Source organism: Homo sapiens, chromosome 13 (genome assembly GCF_000001405.40).
Source record: "Homo sapiens chromosome 13, GRCh38.p14 Primary Assembly".
Taxonomy (NCBI): Eukaryota; Metazoa; Chordata; class Mammalia; order Primates; family Hominidae; genus Homo; species Homo sapiens.
This window is the reverse complement of record NC_000013.11, coordinates 52,033,602-52,052,437: the sequence shown is the minus strand read 5'-3', so window position 1 is coordinate 52,052,437 and position 18,836 is coordinate 52,033,602. Positions and strand designations below refer to the sequence as shown.

Genomic DNA, 18,836 nt, shown 5'->3' with positions numbered 1-18,836 from the left:
GTCTTATACCTTGGTGGTGTTCCCATAACCTCCAAGTGTTCAAACCTGTCTTTCAATCTAAATGCACAAAGAAGTAAGTAGCCCCATCCAGTAACAACCATTCACTGTGTGTACCCAAAATATCTGAGATAGGTCTCAATTTAGAAAGTTTATTTTGCCAAGGTTACAGATGCGTCTGTGACAAAGCCTCAGGAGGTCCTGATGACATGTGTCCAAGGTGGTCAGGGTACAGTTTGCTTTTATACATTTTAGGGAGACATGAGAAATCAATTACTATGTGTAAATTGTACCTTGGTTTGGTCCAGAAAAGAGGGGCGACTTGAAGCAGGGCGGGGGTGGGGTCGGGGGGAGGGCTTCCAGGTCATAGGTAGATAAGAGACAAAAGTTTGCATGCTTTTGAGTCCTTGATCAGCCTTTCACTGAATACACAATTTAGTCTGGCTCAGTGAATCTGCATTTTTACATAAACAATAGGGCAGAAGCAATCAGATATGATTTGTCTCAGGTGAGCAGAGGAATGACTTTCTGTCCTGCACCTGTGAAGATCAGCGATCAGTTTACATTGCCAGGGTGAAATTCAACAGAATTGTTTTAGGGTAAAGATCCTGAGGCCTACAAGGAACTTCCCTGTGGGCAAATTGTGAGGGAGGTATGTAGCTTTTTTATAATTGTAGCTATCTTATTTAGGAATAAAATGGGAGGCAGGTTTGCCTGACGTAGTTTTCAGCTTTTCTCTTGCCTTAGTGATAAATCGGTCCCGAGATTTATTTTCCTTTCACAACCGCAGCCGCTGTCAGCCACTTCCAAAACTACAGCTTTTATCAGTGACTCGTCAGCCATTGCACACACAAAAATCAGTTCTCTCTCACAGTACAATGTAATCCCTGGTACCCCAAAGTCAGATTGATCAAGTAACTTACTGCAAAAGACAGTAGAGCTTTAGATCTGAGAGGAACCTGCCCATGACTCTTTGTACTCCACTAGGAAAACAGACCAACCTAAGGAGGGATGAATGGCACCTTTTCTGCATTCTTCGAGGGGTTTTAGAGTCATTAGAAGTCTCCTGCAGATTCCTTCACGTGTTATTGAAAATGGCAAAAGGGAGGAGGAGCAGAAGTGGAAGGAAATAGAAGAACAAGTCATATAGGAGCCAATTTGGGGAGGTTTTTAAGCTAACTAAAAGGCCAGTGAGAAGTTGTACATTTTTCTCAGCAGAAGTCATGCCAAAAAGATAGGAAGCAACTGAAAAAAAAAATTCTGGAAACAGCATCCAAAAGAAGAAAAAGCAGAAAAGGCCTTTAAAAAACGTTTATAGCCTAAATATTAAACTTTTAATTAACCTGACTTCTGACCAGAGTTCTAAAAAAAAAAAAAAGCCCCTGCCTTATAATTCTTTGTGGTATTAAAAAACGAACACTAGGGCCGGGCACGGTGGCTCACACCTGTAATCCCAGCACTTTGGGAGGCCGAGGCAGGTGGATCAGGAGGTCAGGAGTTTGAGACCAGCCTGACCAACATGGTGAAACCCCGTCTCTACTAAAAATACAAAAATTAGCCAGGTGTGGTGGCATGTGCCTGTAATCCCAGCTACTCAGGAGGCTTAGGCAGGAGAATTGCTTGAACCTGGGAGGCAGAGGTTGCAGTGAGCTAAGATTGCACTATTGCACTCCAGCCTGGGTGACAAAGCCAGACTCTGTCTCAAAAAAAAAAAAAAAAAGAAAAAAACAAATGAAATATTGTGCTATCTTCAATCTAGTCCTTTTCCCAAGAGGAAAAATAAAAAGCACATTTTAAGTAAAAAAAAAAACTGCAAAAAAAAAAAAAAAGATGAAGGTGTGTGTGTGCTTTGGGTTTTCCCTACAGGCATTCATGATGAAGTCTAACCATGGTGGGAGACTCAGGTTATAGAAACAGTGGAGAATAAGAGTGGTCCAACTGTGGTAAATCTTTTTTTTACACAAAGATTTTCTTAATTTTTCTAATACAATGAAAGCATCTACCCCAAAAGTGGAGGTGTTTTATCTCTTCCTCTCTGATCCTTATTCCTGTCACTTTTACTTGTCTGGTTGTGTTATCCCTTTCTTATTCTCTGTTTTGATGGAAATGGCTAAAAGGTTTACCATTATACTGATGTTCACTATCAGGTTTTTGGTATATGCCCCTCATTGGGTATATAGGCTGGGATGCTTTCATATCTTTCTCTGTCATTTCTTTAGCAATGGGAACATTAAAACAATGGCTACCCAAAGAAGAAGATGAAGGGAAGGTAGAAATGGTCTCTGGCATTGAAGTAGATGAGGAACAACTAGAACCAAGATCTGATGATGATGATACGTAAGTAGATCATTTGCCGATACCTAAGTCGAGCACTGGTACAAAGTGAAAATGCTGCAGTTGAGACATTCAAAATAGCCAACTGAGACCTGGCTACAAAGATCAAGTTTTACAATGCACGGGTTTGGTTCTGGGCTCTCCATTCTTCTCCAATGGCATCATTTTCTACATTTGCATCAGTGATACTCTGTCTTAACTTCCATGGCTTCCATTGTACCTCCTGATACCTGGTGGGGCCAGTCCTCACATATTGTGCTAGCAGTCTTCACAGCATTTTCTTCAAAATTATCTTAACTATTGTTGCCCATTCCTCATCATACACAGTATATCAAGCTTGTCCAAGCCACAGCCCAGGACAGCTTTGAATGCGGCCCAACACAAGTTTGTAAACTTTCTTAAAACATTATGAGATTTTTTTGCAATTTTTTTTTTTTTTTAGTTCATCAGCTGTTGTTAGTGTTAGTGTATTTTATGTGTGGCCCAAGACAATTCTTCCAATGTGCCAGGGAAGCCAAAAGATTGGACACCCCTGCTGTACCTCTTTGCATTCTCTTATAAAGTATGAGAAACGTTGTTGGGATTTTGGTGGGAATGACATTTTATTTATTGATTAAATTATGGGAATTGGCATATTTGGGATTATGAATCTTTTAAAATTATTATTATTATTATTATTATTTGAGACAGAGCCTCACTCTGTTGCCCAGGCTGGAGTGTGGAGGCGCAATCACAGCTCACTGTAGCCTCGAATTCCTGGGCTCAAGCAATCCTCCCACCTCAGCCTCCCAAGTAGCTGGGACCACAGGCACATGCCACCATGCCCAGCTAATCTTTTTTATTTTTTGTAGACATGAGGTCTTGTTATGTTGTGCAGGCTGGTCTTGAACTCCCAGCTTCAAGTTGTCCTCCCACCTTGGCCACCCAAAGTGCTGGGATTACAGGTGTGAGCCACTGCACTTGTCCTAAAAATTATTTTTAATTGGCAAATAAAAATTGTATTAATATATACTTACGGTATACAACATGATGTTTTGAAATATGTACACATTGTGGAATAGCTAAATCAAGCTAATAAATATATGTATTACGTCACATGCTTATCATTTATTTATGGTGAGAGCACTTAAAATCTACTCTCAGCAATTTTCAAGTATACAATAAATTGTTATTAACTATAGTCACCATGCTGTACCATAGATCTTCTGAAATTATTCCACCTGTCTAAGTGAAATTTTCTACTCTTTGACCAACATCTCCTGGCTTTCCCTTCCACCTTCTCCCAACCCCAGCCCCTAGAAACCACCATTCTACTCTCTGCTTCTATGAGTTCGATTGTTTTTGATTCCACGTTAGTGAGCTCATACAGCATTTGTCTTTCTGTGTCTGGCTTATTTCACTTGGCAGAATGCCCTCCAGGGTTATTCATGTTGTCACAAATGCCAGAATTTCCTTCTTTTTAATAGCTGAATAGTATTCCATCCTGTATATATACACCACATTTTCTTTATCTATTCATGCATTGATGTGATTATGAATTTTAACATCCATAAATATAGTATAGCTCTCTATGTCTCTTTTTTCTTTGTATTTTTAAGTATTTTTATAATTTTGTTTATGGCATAGGTACCACTTAATTTTGTTGTTGTTGGTATTTTAAATGGGATTTTTTTGTATTTTAATTTTATTTATTTTTTATAGAGATGGGGGTCTCACAGTGTTGTTCAGGCTGGTCTCGAACTCCTGGGCTCAAGTGATCCTCCCGTCTCAGCCTCCCAGAATGCTAGGATTATAGGCGTGAGCCACTGTGCCTGCCTAATTTTATTTTTTAATTGAAAAATTTTGATTTTACATATTCATAGGATACACAGTGATGTTTCAATACATATGAAGTATAGCAGTCAGTTCAAGGTAATTAGCATATCCATCATCTCAAACATTTATTGTTTCTGTGTGTTGGGAGCATTTAATATCTTCCTTCTAGTGATTTAAAACTATATACCATATTACTATTAACTATAGTCATCCTACAGTGGTATAGAGCACTAGAATTTATTCCTCTTATCTAGCTGTAATTTTCTGTCCTTTAACAAATCTCTCCCTTTTTTCCTCTTGTGTTTTCAAGAGGAATGTATAGAACTACTGCTACTGTATAGAACACTACTGATGTATCCTGTAACTTTACTAAACTCTCTTATTAGTTCTAAATTTTGGAGTCCTTTGAATTTTTAAAATTTTATTATAATTTACTTAACATTTGTTTTGAGACAGGATCTTTCTCTGTTGCCCAGGCTGGAGTGTGGCAGCATGATCATATTCACTGCAGCCTTGAACTCCTGGGCTCAAGTGATCCTCTTGCCTCAGGCTCCAGAATAGCTGGGACTACAGGTGTAGCATGCCACCATGGCCGGCTAATTTTTTTGTTTTTTGTAGAGACGGGGTCTTGCTATGTTGCCCAGGCTCATCTTGAACTCCTGGCCTCAAGTGATCCTCCCACCTGGGCCTCCCATAAAGTAAACTGTGAGCCAGATGCTGGGATTACAGCATGAGCCACTGCACTTGGCCCATGATTTACTTTTAAAATACGTCCCAAATTTTTTAAGTAGACCCTTTTCAGTCTTCCTACTACCTAACTCTTTACATCAGCTACACAGTCCTCCTCCCTACAGTCAACCAATCTAATCTGCTTCTTGTGTATACTTCTCCAGAGGAATTCCATACAAATATAAGCAAAAATATATTTCTTGTGTAAATGTGTCTTTTTATATAAATGGTTCCATAGTGCACTGTCCTATAATTTGCTTTTTTTTTATTTAACAGTATTATGTTGAATACATATTATTGTTTCAAAAACTAGTATATGTATAGTTTAAATTTCCAGAACAAAAAGTATTGGGTCAAAGAGCATGTACACTTGTAAATTGGATATCATAAAATTGTCCTTCACAGAGGTTACACCTATTAACATCAGTATCTAGAAGTGCCTATTTCCCCATTCTCTTGCTCAGTGTGTTGTCAGATTTTTGGATTATTGCATAATTGATAGGTTAAATAAAAGTCAGTTCATGATAGTTTTAATTGGCATTTCTTTTGTGAGTGAGGTTATCTTTCCATATGCTAAAGAGCCATCTTTATTTCCTCTTTCAGGAAAATTCGTTCATGGGCCATTTTTAAAATTTGGGTATTAACATTGTATTGATTTGGGAACTTTCTGCACTTCAGGGAAATTAGTCTTTTATCTGTAACATGATTCAAAAATATTTTCCTTGGTTTTTGCCTTTTATTTTGTTTATGGTGACTTGTGCCATGTTATTTTTGTTTAGTTAGATTAATCAATTATTTTATAAAACAAAGATTCTAGGATTTTTTTTTTTTTGAGACAGGGTGTCCGTCTATCACCCAGGTTGGAGTGCAGCGGCATGATCGCACCTCACTGCAGCCTCGACCTCCTGGGCTCAATCTAACTTCCCACTTCAGCCTGCTGAGTAGCCGGGACTACAGGCACTTGCCACTATGCCTGACTAATTATTTTATTTTTTATTTTTTGTAGAGATGAGGTTTCACCATATTGCCCAGACTGGTCTTAAACTCTTTCTTCTTCTTCTTCTTCTTTTTTTTTTTTTTTAAACATACAGGATCTTACTTTGTTCCCCAGGCTGGAATGCAGTGGCCCGATCATGGCTTACTGTAACCTTGAATTCCTGGGCTCAAGTGATCCTCCTGCCTCTCAGCCTCCTGAGTGGCTGGGAGTATAGGCATGCACCACCATGCCCAGCTATTTTTTTTTTTTTTTGTAGAGACAGGGTCTTGCCGTGTTGCCCAGGCTGGTCTTGAACTCCTAGACTCAAGTGATTTTCATGCCTTGGCCCCCCAAGGGGTTAAGATTACAGGCATGAGCCACTGTACCTTGTCAATCCCAGGATTTTAAAAATATATTTATTATTTAATTTTCTCTATAGTAAAATATTTTATTCATCTTTAACTTTATTCATATTACACTACAAAGTGTGGATCCAACTTTTTTTTTTTTTTTTTTGAGATGGAGTCTCGCTCTGTTGCCCAGACTGGAGTGTAGTGGCATGATCTTGGCTCACTGCAACCTCCACCTCCTGGGTTCAAGCGATTCTCCTGTCTCAGCCTCCTGAGTAGCTGGGATTACAGGCGCACACCACCGTGGCTGGCTAATTTTTGTATTTTTAGTAGAGATGGGGTTTCACCATGTTGTTCAGGCTGGTCTCAAACCCCTGACCTCGTGATCCACCCGCCTCAGCCTCCCAAAGTGCTGGGATTACAGGCGTGAGCCACCGTGCAGGTCCCAACTTTTTTTTTTTTTTTTTTTTTTGAGACAGAGTCTTGGTCTGTCGCCCAGGCTGGAGTGCAGTGGTGCAATCTTGGCTCACTGCAAGCTCCACCTCCCAGGTTCACGCCATTCTCCTGCCTCAGCCTCCCGAGTAGCTGGGACTACAGGCGCCGGCCACCACGCCCGGCTAATTTTTTGTATTTTTGGTAGAGACGGGGTTTCACCTTGTTAGCCAGGATGGTCTCGATCTCCTGACCTCGTGATCCGCTCGCCTCGGCCTCCCAAAGTGCTGGGATTACAGGCGTGCGCCACCGTGCTCGGCCCCCAACTTTTTTTTTTCCCCAAATAACTCCTCACTTATTCCAGCACCATTTACTTAAAAAGGTTTTTTATTCTGGCCGGGCGCGGCAGCACTTTGGGAGGCCGAGGAGGGCAGATCACAAGGTCAGGAGATCGAGACCATCCTGGCTAACACGGTGAAACCCCATCTCTACTAAAAATACAAAAAAATTAGCCGGGCGTGGGGGCAGGTGCCTGTCGTCCCAGCTACTCGGCAGGCTGAGTCAGGAGAATGGCGTGAACCGGGGAGGCAGAGCTTGCAGTGAGCCGAGATCACACCACTGCACTCCAGCCTGGGCGACAGAGAGACTCCGTCTCAAAAAAAAAAAAAAAAAAAGATTTTTTATTCTAATTTGAAATGCTACTGTTATGGTACGTTTTTATACGTATTTGCATTCAATTCCTATTCTTTCTAGTCTAATTATTGATTTATAAACACATTGTTTATAATATAGTTTATTATTTTGAGGGCTAGGTCCCCTAAATACTCTTCCTTAGAGTTTTCAGGCTTGTTTTGCTTATTTTTCCATATGGACATTAGAATCACCTTGTCTAGCAAAGGAAGGAGGAAAAGAAGGAGTTTTCTTAGCCTCCTTGCCAGCAGAATTTTGGAATCCAAAGGCCTCTTTTCGTTTCATACTGTCTGTGTCCCTTTCATTCCAACCTGGTTATGCTTCTGTATATATATTTCTTTCAAAAATCTTAGAGGTCTCTGCAACTCTTATGGGGAGGCACTTCGTTAGATAACAGCCAGACCCACAAATCTTTTTGATATAAGCCCTTCTCTATCTTGGGCTTTGGCTTAGACTACAGAGAAACAACACCCTTAAATTGCCTAGAAACCCTACTGTTTGAGAATAATTTTGAGACTTATTCATGTTGTTGTATATATTGATAGTTCATTTACTTTATATTGCTCAGTAGTATCCCATTGTGTAGATATACCACAATTTGTTTGTAGATTCACCTGTTGGGGACGTTTATGTTGTTTCCAGATTTGGGCTATGAATATTTGTGTATATTCTGTATGTGAACCTAAGTTTTCATTTGGCTATGAATATTTGTGTATATTCTGTATGTGAACCTAAGTTTTCATTTCTTGTGGGCAAACACCTAGGAGTGGAATGGCGGAGTTGTATGGTTGGTGTACTAGGGTTCTCTAGAGCGACAGAAGTAATGGAATATAAAGGGGAGTTTATTAAGTATAACTCACACAATCACAGGGTCCCACAATAGGCCATCTGCAGGCTGAGGAGAGAGGAGAGCCAGTCCAAATTCAAAACCGAAGAACTTGGAGTCTGATGTTCGAGGGCAGGAAGCATCCAGCATAGGAGAAAGCTGTAGGCTGCGAAGCTAGGCCAGTCTCTCTTTTCACATTTTTCTGCCTGCTTACATTCTAGCCGTGCTGGCAGCCGAATAGATTGCGCCCACTCAGATTAAGGGTGAGTCTGCCTTTCCCAGCCCACTGACTCAAATGTTAATCTCCTTTGGCAACACCCTCACAGACACACCCAGGATCAATACTTTGAATCCTTCAATCCAATCAAGTTGACACTCTGTATAAACCATCACAGTTGGTAAATGTTTAACTTACTGTTTTCCAAAGTGGTTATTCTATTTCACATTCCTGTGAACAGTGTGTAAGAGTTCCAGTTGTTCAACATCCTTACCAACACTTGGTATGGTCAGTTTTAACATTTTTAACCCATCTACTAGGTGTGAAGTGGTGTCTTTATAATTTTAAAATTATTTATATATCTTTGCTACTAGTTCTTTGTCAGATATCTGCTTTGCTAACATTTTCTCACCATCTGGGTATTTGTGTTCATTTTCTTAATGGTATGATTCAAGTTGGAAATTTCTGACTAATGTATTTTTTTAAGCACTTTTTTTTCTTTTCTTTTTCTTTTTCTTTCTTTTTTTTTTTTTTTGAGATGGAGTCTTGCTCTGTCACCCAGGTTGGAGTGCAGTGGTGTGATCTCGGCTCACTGCAACCTCTGCCTCCGGGGTTCAAGCCAATTCTCTGCCTCAGCCTCCCGAGTAGCTGGGATTACAGGTACCTGCCACCATGCCTGGCTAATTTTTGTATTTTTAGTAGAGACAGGGTTTCACCATCTTGGCCAGGCTGGTCTTGAACTCCTGACCTTGTGATTCACCCACCTCAGCCTCCCAAAGTGCTGGGATTACAGGCATGATCCACTGTACCCGGCCTTAATCACTTTAAAAATTGATTTTTTTTAAAGTGTCCTTTAAAAAGTAAAGTGTCCCTTTTTTACATTGTCACTTTTTTTTCCTATTAATGCTGTTTGCATTAAGTTCTATTTGGTCTGATACAGATATTACTATTCTAACTTCTTTATTTTTTTAAGTACTTTTATAATATGTATTTTTCTATTCTTTTATTTTCATCATTTCTTTGTGATTTTGTTATGCTGTATTTCTTATAAAGTGCATGTAGTTGGTTTATGTGCTCCTTGTCATGTGAAAATGTCTTTTAATGTTAATTTAGTAAAATTTATTATAATGTTGACAAATTTGGATTTCACTCTACCATACCATTTTGGTTTTCTATTTATTATCTTTTCTTATTTCTTTTTTACCCTTCTTTCCTAGCCTTTTGTTGGTTGACAAACTTTTCTATATTAATTTTCCCCCCATAATAATTTTGAAGATACAGATTATATTTCTAATCTTTTAATGGTTAGCTTTTATACACTACCTACAAATTGATCTAACAAATTCAAAAGTTGCTCAGTATTCCTTCCTTCCTCCCAAATATGAAAAACACAATTTTAATCACCACAAAACCCTTTTATTCTGATATTTTAATATAGAAGTATAATTTTACTTAAAAAGCTTTTTTATTATTAAAAATTTCAAACATTTATAGTGCAAGTAGAGAACAGCATAATGAACCCTCATGTATCCATCATCTAGCTTCAACAATTATCAACATTGTTTCTTTTCTGTCTTCATGTCCCCCACACTTTTTTTTTTGTAAGTGTGGAATACTTTAAGTCTCAGATATCAAATCATTTCATCCAATTTTACCTTTTTTCAAACAAAAATATTATATATATTATTATATGTATTAATATATACATATTCTCAAATGTAACTCACTTTGCCAATTTAGTTTATCATTTTTCTGAACTTGCCATTTTTTTCCTATCCCGTGCTTTCCCTCTGATTTCAGTTTTTTTCTTGTTGATGTATATTCTTTAGTAATTATTTATGATATGTCAGTGAGTAGTAAACTTTCTTATTCTTTTCATATCAAAGATTGTTTTTGTTTTGACTTGAGTCTTCAGCAGTAATTTTGCTGGGCATATAATTTTAGGTTGACAACTATTTTTTCTCCTGGCTTCTATTATTGTTGATGACAAATCAACTATCATCTCATTATTTTTCCTTTATAGGGATGCTAACTTTCTCCCTGATACTTTTATAATTTTTTTAATTCCTTACATTCTTATGTTTCACTATGGTATGTCTAGGTCTAAAAATGTCTTTTATCCTGCTTGCTTCACTTTCTTTTGAGAACACATGACTTTCTTTAGTTCTGGAAAATTTTAATATTTGCTTTTCTTATTGCATCCATTTTGATTCTCCAATTAGATATTAGATATATTTTTTATCTTCTCAATTATCTCCAGTAGTACCTAATTGTACTTTCATATTTTTTATTCTCTTCTTTGTTCCTTTCCAGGTGAATTTTTTTTTTTTTTTTTTTTTTTTTGAGACAGAGTTTCGCTCTTGTTGCCCAGGCTGGAGTGCAGTGGTGTGATCTCGGCTCACTGCAACCTCCGCCTCCTGGGTTCAAGCAATTCTACTGCCTCAGCCTCCTGAGTAGCTGGGATTACAGGCTTGTGCCACCACGCCCAGCTAATTTTTGTATTTTTAGCAGAGATGGGGTTTCACCATGTTGGCCAGGCTGGTCTCGAACTCCTGACCTCAGGCAATTCACCTGCCTCAGCCTCCCAAAGTGCTGGGATTACAGGCGTGGATGAATCCTTGAATACTGTTTTCTAAGCCTATCTGGGTACCATCTATTGAGTTTTTAATTTAAATGATTATATATTTCATGCCCAAGATAATTATTTTTTCTTATATTTATATGGTCTTGTTTCATTAATGCATAATGATTTCTCATAATTAAAAAATTTAAATGCTTTGCTTTAGTTTATCTTTTTGGGCATACTTACTTTAGGAGACTTATCAAAATCCTCCATAAAAAATAATTTCATCTGGAGTTAGTTCATGGTCCAATTTTTTTCTTTTATTAATTTTATGCCATCTGTCTTACCATTAGATTTATTCAGGTGTTAGAATTTTAGTTTGTGGGCTCATTTTGTTTTGGAGGGTTTAAAATTGCTTTTTCTTCCTTTCCTGCCTCTTCCTGTATACCTCCTAAATATCTAATAGGGTCTTCTTCCTTAGGTCCCCCTCCATTCTTGCTAGCTGGGACCCTTGAAGAGCAAGTGTGGTCTAGAAAAAAAATACCAGTAATGTGGCTTGTCTGTTTTAGCCCAATCTCTGGAAGAAAAATTCTCCCTAAGACATTTATAACCATAGATTTGACTTCACTTGTGTTTGGAGCTTGAATTACAATACTTGTATGGGCTGGAAACATCTATGTTGAGAAATTAACACTAAAATTAACATTAAGGGGTGGTAATACTCCTGGGATTTTTAGAAGTAAATATAAGACATTCTGGAGGGATAAATGTTGGATTTTTTCACTGAAGCACTGGTGAAGATGAACTTACAATTGAACATTTAAAAACAGAATCCACTATGAGAGATTGCAAATAGAACAAATGCTGATTAGATCATAAAGAATTTCAGATAATATAATTATCTTAGGAAGACTATAATACTGTATATTTAAAATTATTTAATTTAATTAAATTCAGGAATCCAAACATAAGAAAAATATAGTCCCTCGGTAAAGAGCAGGAAGTTTCTCTTAGCCTGTTTGGGCTACTCTAACACAATACCTTAGATGAGTTAACAAAAATATCAGAAATATACTTCTTCTAGTTCTAGAGGCTAGGAAGTCCAAGATCAAGGTGCCAGTAGAGGCTGGGTGCAGTGGCTCACGCCTGTAATCCCAGCACTTTGGGAGGCTGAGGTGGGCGGATCATCTGAGGTCAGGAGTTCAAAACCAGCCTGGCCAACATGGTGAAACCCCGTCTCTACTAAAAAATAGAAAAATTAGCTGGGCATGGTGGCAGGTGCCTTAATCCCAGCTACTTGGGAGGTAGAGGCGGGAGAATCATTTGAACCTGGGAGGCGGAGGTTGCAGTGAGCCGAGGTTGAGCCATTGCACTCAAGCCTGGGGGACAAAAGTGAGATTTCTCTCAAAAAAAAAAAAAAAAAAAAAGTGCCAGTAGATTTGGTGTCTGGTAAGGGCTAGCTTTTGGCTCCATACACAGCACCTGCTAGCTGTGTCCTCACTTGGTGGAAGGAGCATACAAGCTTCCTTGGGCTTCTTTTATAAGGGCACTGATCCCACTCATGAGGGCTGTGCTCTCATGACCTCATCACCTCCTAAAGGCTCCACCCCTTAATACTATCACATTGAGGATTAGGTTTCAACACATGAATTGGGAACAGGGGCACAAACATTCAGACCATAGCAAAAATTTTTATAATTCACTAGAACTTCTGGAAGTTGAAAAAAATCTATGAATAGAAATTAAAATTCGACTGATGGTTTAAAAAACAGAATAGGTGCAGATAATAAAGGAGTTAGTAACTGGAAGATAGGTCTAAGTAAAAACATGATGGAAAATGTGACAGAGAAGTTAAGAGGCATGAAGTCAAATGTATATGAAAAGGAGTTCCAGAAGAAAAGAATATGAGAAAACAATATGCAAATCAATTCCAGCTGTGAACTTTCTATAATTATTTGAAGCCAGTAATCATCATATCTGGGAAATAAAACAATTATCAAGCAGCAACAACGAAAATAAATTTATACCTAGACACAGCATAGTTTAGTAGAGGAACAAAGACAAAGGAAAGATCTGTGTAAAGCACATATCTCAGGAATGGTAACAGTAAGTGGGAGTTGCACTTACTGGTCCACCCAAATTTATGGTCTCCAGTTTTAGTGGGGTCCTCCATGATGACTGGCAATCCTAAGCCTGGTCAGCTTCCTTCCCAGTGTATCAGTGATTCCAAACCCTCATCCCTCAGCTCACTCCCATCCACACACACTCATCGTGTGACTGTGCCTCCTCCTTCACAGAGATAGTACGCGTTCTGCAGAATCAGTTTTCTAGCTCCATAACTTCTCTATATCCATGAGTCCTTCTCTCCTTCTCTCTCCCTATCTTCTTTTTCTTAGGAAAAACTGTCCCTCTTCCTGCTGAAAGCCCATGCTCTGCAGGTGCTCTAAAACCCAGCCTCTTTTCAGTGACCTGGCTCCTATTGGTTATTCCACCTGTCTCCTGTTTTGAATATCTACTACCTCCTTTCCTCAGCATATAAACATGCCCAACTCTCTCCCATTAAAAACAATAACCAAAAACCATTGCCCCCATGTTCTCTAAATAATACCATTCCTTTCGGAGTTAGGCTCGCTGAAAGAGGAGTTTAAATTCATTGTCACCACTTTTTTTTTTTTTTTTTTTTCAGATGAGTGTCTTGCTCTGATGCCTAGGCTGGAGTGCAGTGGCATGATCATAGCTCATTACAACTGTAAACTCCTGGGCTCAAGCAATCCTCCTGCATCAGCCTCCTGAGTAGCTCTCCCAGCACTTTGGGAGGCTGAGGTGAGAGGATTGTTTGAACACAGTAGTTTATGACCAGCCTGGGTAACACAGTGAGACCTCCTAGCTGCTAAAAATAAAAAACCTGGGCATAGTGGTGCTCACCTGTAGTCCCCACCTGTCACCACTTTGTTAATCTCCATTGCTTTCTGGACCCACTGTACATTGGCTCCTGCTGCACGGCACTCATCTGAAATATTCTTTCAACAGTCATCTATTACCTTGAAATTGGCAAGTCAGGTAATCATTTCTCAGTCCTCATCCTATTTGGCTACTCCTTTGGCTTCCACGATACACATCTTCTTGGCTCTTATCAGCTCTTTCTCAATCTCCTCCACTTGCCACTTTTTTTGTTCCGTTTTGTTTTGAGATGGAGTCTCGCTCTGTCTCCCAGGCTGGAGTGCAGTGGTGCGATCTCGGCTCACTGCAACCTCCGCCTCCTGCATTCAAGTGATTCTCCTGTCTCAGCCTCCTGAGTAGCTGGAACTACAAGTGTGCGCCACCATGCCTAATTTTTTGTATTTTTAGTAGAGAAGGGGTTTTGCCATGTTGGCCAGGCTGGTCTCAAACTCCTGACCTCATACTTGCTACTTAAATATTAGGTTGGTGCAGTTACTTTTAGGTTTAATTTAGGTTGGTGCAGATTGTCTTATTGATCTATTCCCTTTCCTTTCTAAAAATACCAATGTTGCAGTCTTAGACACAATTTTAATTCCTGGTTCTATGAATTAGTAGCTGTGAGACCTTCAACACATTTTTTTTTTTTGAGACGGAGTCTCGCTCTGTCGCCCAGGCTGGAGTGCAGTGGCGCGATCTCGGCTCACTGCAAGCTCCGCCTCCCAGGTTCATGCCATTCTCCTGCCTCAGCCTCCCGAGTAGCTGGGACTACAGGCGCCCGGTACCACGCCCGGCTAATTTTTTGTATTTTTAGTAGAGACGGGGTTTCACCGTGTTAGCCAGGATGGTCTCGATCTCCTGACCTCGTGATCCGCCCGCCTCGGCCTCCCAAAGTGCTGGGATTACAGGCGTGAGCCACCGCGCCCGGCCACATTTTTTAACCTCTCTGAGCCTTAGCTTCTTTATTTATAATTTGATGATAATGTCTACCTCAAAATGTTGTTAGTATTAAGTGGAATATGGTATAAGTACCCTAGGATATTGATGGACATATAGTAAGAGCTCGATGTACGGCAATTGTTTTTTTCTTTTTTTTTAATTCTCTCTTCCTCTCCTCTTAAACATTAGATGATGGACATTAATAAATATAATAAAGGGTGTTTAACACAATGTAAAACTCAACAGAAGACTGATTCTCCCAACATTAGCTGTTTATCATGCTTAGAAAAACCTAGGTGAAAATGCAACTTTTATATTGCTCAACTGGGGATGGAGAAAAGGGAAACGAGTTTTTACATGTATTCTTCAGTACTTTCATATCATAATGCTGATTTTTACTGCTTATTATTTCAGAAATTTTGAAGAATCTGAAGATGAGTTGAGAGATGAAGTAGTAGAATACTTAGAAAAACTCGCTACTTTCAAAGGGGAAGAAAAAACAGAAGAGGCCTCCAGTACCTCTAAGGACTCTAGAAAGTCAAGAGAAAGAGAGGGGATAAGTATGCAGAAATCTGAAGAATTAAGGGAGGGCTTGGAGAATATTTCTACTACATCTAATGACCACATTTGTATTACTGATGAAGACCAAGGAACATCAACAACCAGTCAAAATATACAAGTGTGATTATTGTACTTTTTCTTAAGTAATAAGTTAGTGTCTATTACCTATAGTATTTATTTGGGTACAAGTCATAAATGCTCATTTACTGTAAGGGTTTTCTAGTAATCTCAAGGATTTATTAATTTTTCTTTCAATTTAGGAAGTAGAACTTTTGAATATAGCCATTAATATTTTTACTTTAAAGTTTCTATTAAGAAATCTTAGGCCGGGCAGTCTCATCACTTTGGGAGGCCAAGGCAGGCAGATCATGAGGTCAGGAGTTTGAGACCAGTCCAACCAACATGGTGAAACCCCGTCTCTACTAAAAATACAAAATTAGCTGGGCATGGTGGTGCATGCCTGTAATCCCAGTTACTTGGGAGGCTGAGGCAGGAGAATCACCTGAACCCAGGAGATGGAAGTTGCAAGTGAGCCGAGATTGTGCCACTGCACTCCAGCCTGGGCAACAAGAGCGAAACTCTGTCTCAAAAAAAGAAAAAAAAAAAAAAGCTTTCAGCTAATATATGTGGTAGGCAGAGTAATGTGGCTCAATGCCCCCTCCAAAACATGTCCCATCCTAATCCCCACAGTTTGCAAATATGGCAAAGGAGAATTAAGGTTGCAGGTGAAATTGTTTGCTTATCAGCTGACCTTAAAATAGGGAGGTTATCTTGGTTTATCCACCTGGGTGCAGTGTAATCACAAGGGTCCTTACAAGTGGAAGAGGAAGACAAAAGAGAAAACCAGAGAGATCGCAGCATGAAAAGGACTCAGCCTGATGTTGCTGGCTTTGAAGATGTTGGACAAGGCCACAAACTAAGAATTCAGACAGCCTCTGGAATCTGGAAAAGGCAAAGAAATGGATTCTTCCCTAGAGCCTCCAGAAGGAACACAGCCCTGCCAACAACTTAATTTTAGCCTAGTGAGTTCAATTTCATACTTCTGACTTGCAGAACTGTTAAGATAATAAATTTGTGTTAACTAAGTTTGTGATAATTTGTTAGGACAGCAATAGAAAACAAATACAATATACAGGTTCACTCATTTAACATAATCTGCCGTTTTACAAAACTGTGATTTTGAAGTTTCTTGTTGCATTGAATACACTTTTTTGAAGCTGATGTTGACACAGGAATAAGGCAATTGAGCAAGAACAACAAGGCATGGTGTGTTAATTATGCACTAAATGACCATGGCCATTTTGTCTAATAGTTTCAATAGTTTCCAATAGTTTCAAGTGTATAGGTTGAGGGCAGGGACTATATCTGGTCTTTATATCTTACAATGATTTTCTTATATAGTTATTAGCACAGTGCCAGAAATGTTTCCTGAATTAATAAATGCTAAAACATTTCCTCATTAAGACTGTAAGCTGTTTGGTGTAGGAAAACTAACTTTTTAAAATTGATCATAACAATTCCAACGTTGAACATGGCCTGGAGCTTAACAGATGTTTATTTAAATACTAAGGAGTATGTCTGGGCTTAGGAAGGAGAGGGTGGTTACATTTCAGGGTGGTAGAATTCTGCCTGAAATATCTGCTTTATAATAAAAGTAAAATGTCTCACCGATACACTGTTAAACTGAGAAAACAAAGATGAGGTAAGGTGGGTCAGATTATTTCTAAGGTCTGTTTACTATTTACATTTCATATAATTTTCATTAAATGTGGAGAATGCAAGTCTTAGGAGTCACCTGAGGTACATCCAGTTTTTTGTGACTATTTCCTGATGTTTGACAGACTGTTCTTTCAACTTGGTGTAGAGTTACAGTCTACTCTTTTAGGGAGAATGCTGTTTGTTCACATCATGAGGCTGTAAATATTTAAAATGTTCTCACCATTGTGTTAGTTTCCAACTGACACATGGCCTGAGAGATTGGAGTATCATTAATTCTGCAACTCTTTTAGTGCTCCGGATGTGCATGTTTATTTACTTTCAGGACTAGTTCAGACATAGTAAAACTGCTAGTGACTTCATGTAATCCTTATTCTGAACTGTATTTGAAAGCAAGGGAAATGAAACATGATCCCTAATAACCTCAAACATCCAAAGATCAAGTCAATTAAGGGCAAAAAAAAAAAAAAAAAAGAAAAAAAAGAATGTTTAAGGATGGTAAATGAACACGCCAGGTGTGGTGGCGCATGCCTGTAATCCCAACACTTTGAGAGGCTGAGGCAGGAGGATCGCTTGAGCCCAGGAGTTTGAGACCAGCCTGGGCAACATAGGGAAACACCCATCTCTATCCACCCCTCAGAAAAAAAAAAAAAAAAAAAAGAATTAGCTGGTGTGTTGGTGTGCACCTCTGGTCCCAGCTCTTCAGGAGGCTGAGGCGGGAGGATCACTTTAGTTTCAGCCTGGGAGGTTGAGGCTACAGTGAGCCATAATCCGTGATCACATCACTGCACTCCACCTTGAGTGACAGAGTAAGAAAGACCCTGTCTCAAAAAAAAAAAAAAAAAAAAAAAGCATGTCAGGTTATCGGGTTTGTTCCCATGATAAAAGATGCTTGGCTAAAGTCTAGTCTATTTTAGGTAATAGTCACCAAGCTTTACTCAACAATTTTGAATTCTTTGCTGTAAACTGGAAGTATTCACTGTGATAAGTATACATATCTGCAACACTTTCAGCTGATTTTAGTCCCTAATTCTAGACCTTACCCATTTTACACACACTATTAGCTAAATCGTGTTCCTGAGGCATGGCTCTGATTACTTTACTCTGGCTTTAGCCTTGGCCTCATCCGTTAAATTGAAACTGTTCACCAGACCTGTATGCATTAAAAATTTTTTTATTAGAAAAATCAGTGTCTTGCTAGCCATGTATGATAGCTATCAAATTGATCATTCTGTAAATGGTAGCAATAAGTGTATCAACACTTTGACCTCCTCTGTGTCTAGTAACATTTGCATATAGTACAACTGAGCACATAGCACCAGAATATTGGAACAGATGCTTCTCCAAAGCCAAGGGTTGCCTTACATTTAGAGTGGGAAAAGAGGAAAATGAGTTAGCAGAGGAGCAGCGGGGAGGGGGGTAAATTACAGGACATAATTTGCTTCTAAAAATTTGTGTTTCGTGTTGTAGTTATATAATTAACTTTTCTATTGTACTGATTGACAGATTTGGCACAGACATCCTCTCATTGTGAATATATATGAATATATCAGAGTTTTGGACTCTGGGGTATATTTACATAAACACAAGTATTCTGAAAGCATTGATAACCACACTGGTGTCTCTTAATTTTGTCTATAAGATGACCTTATAAAATCCCTCAAGAATTATTTAAATCAAGTGTACGAAGCTCTGCAGTTTTTTGTTATGTCTGAAATATTCATTAAAAAGTTTATTAAACCTGACAGCCTCTT

The 18,836-nt window shown here is 38.9% G+C and overlaps 1 protein-coding gene across 10 annotated transcripts in view; it reads left to right on the top strand.

Annotated features, from left to right (window-relative positions):
• Positions 1 to 18,827, top strand: part of NEK5 (NIMA related kinase 5) — a 95,463-nt gene extending 76,636 nt beyond the window's left edge. For all 10 annotated transcript variants that reach the window (XM_047430292.1, XM_047430293.1, NM_001365552.1 and 7 more), the window contains 2 exons: positions 2,217 to 2,334; positions 15,220 to 18,827. In XM_047430292.1, coding sequence (XP_047286248.1) covers positions 2,217 to 2,334; positions 15,220 to 15,490 — 389 coding nt within the window. In that variant the 3' untranslated portion in view covers positions 15,491 to 18,827. The remainder of the gene's footprint in view (positions 1 to 2,216; positions 2,335 to 15,219) is intronic.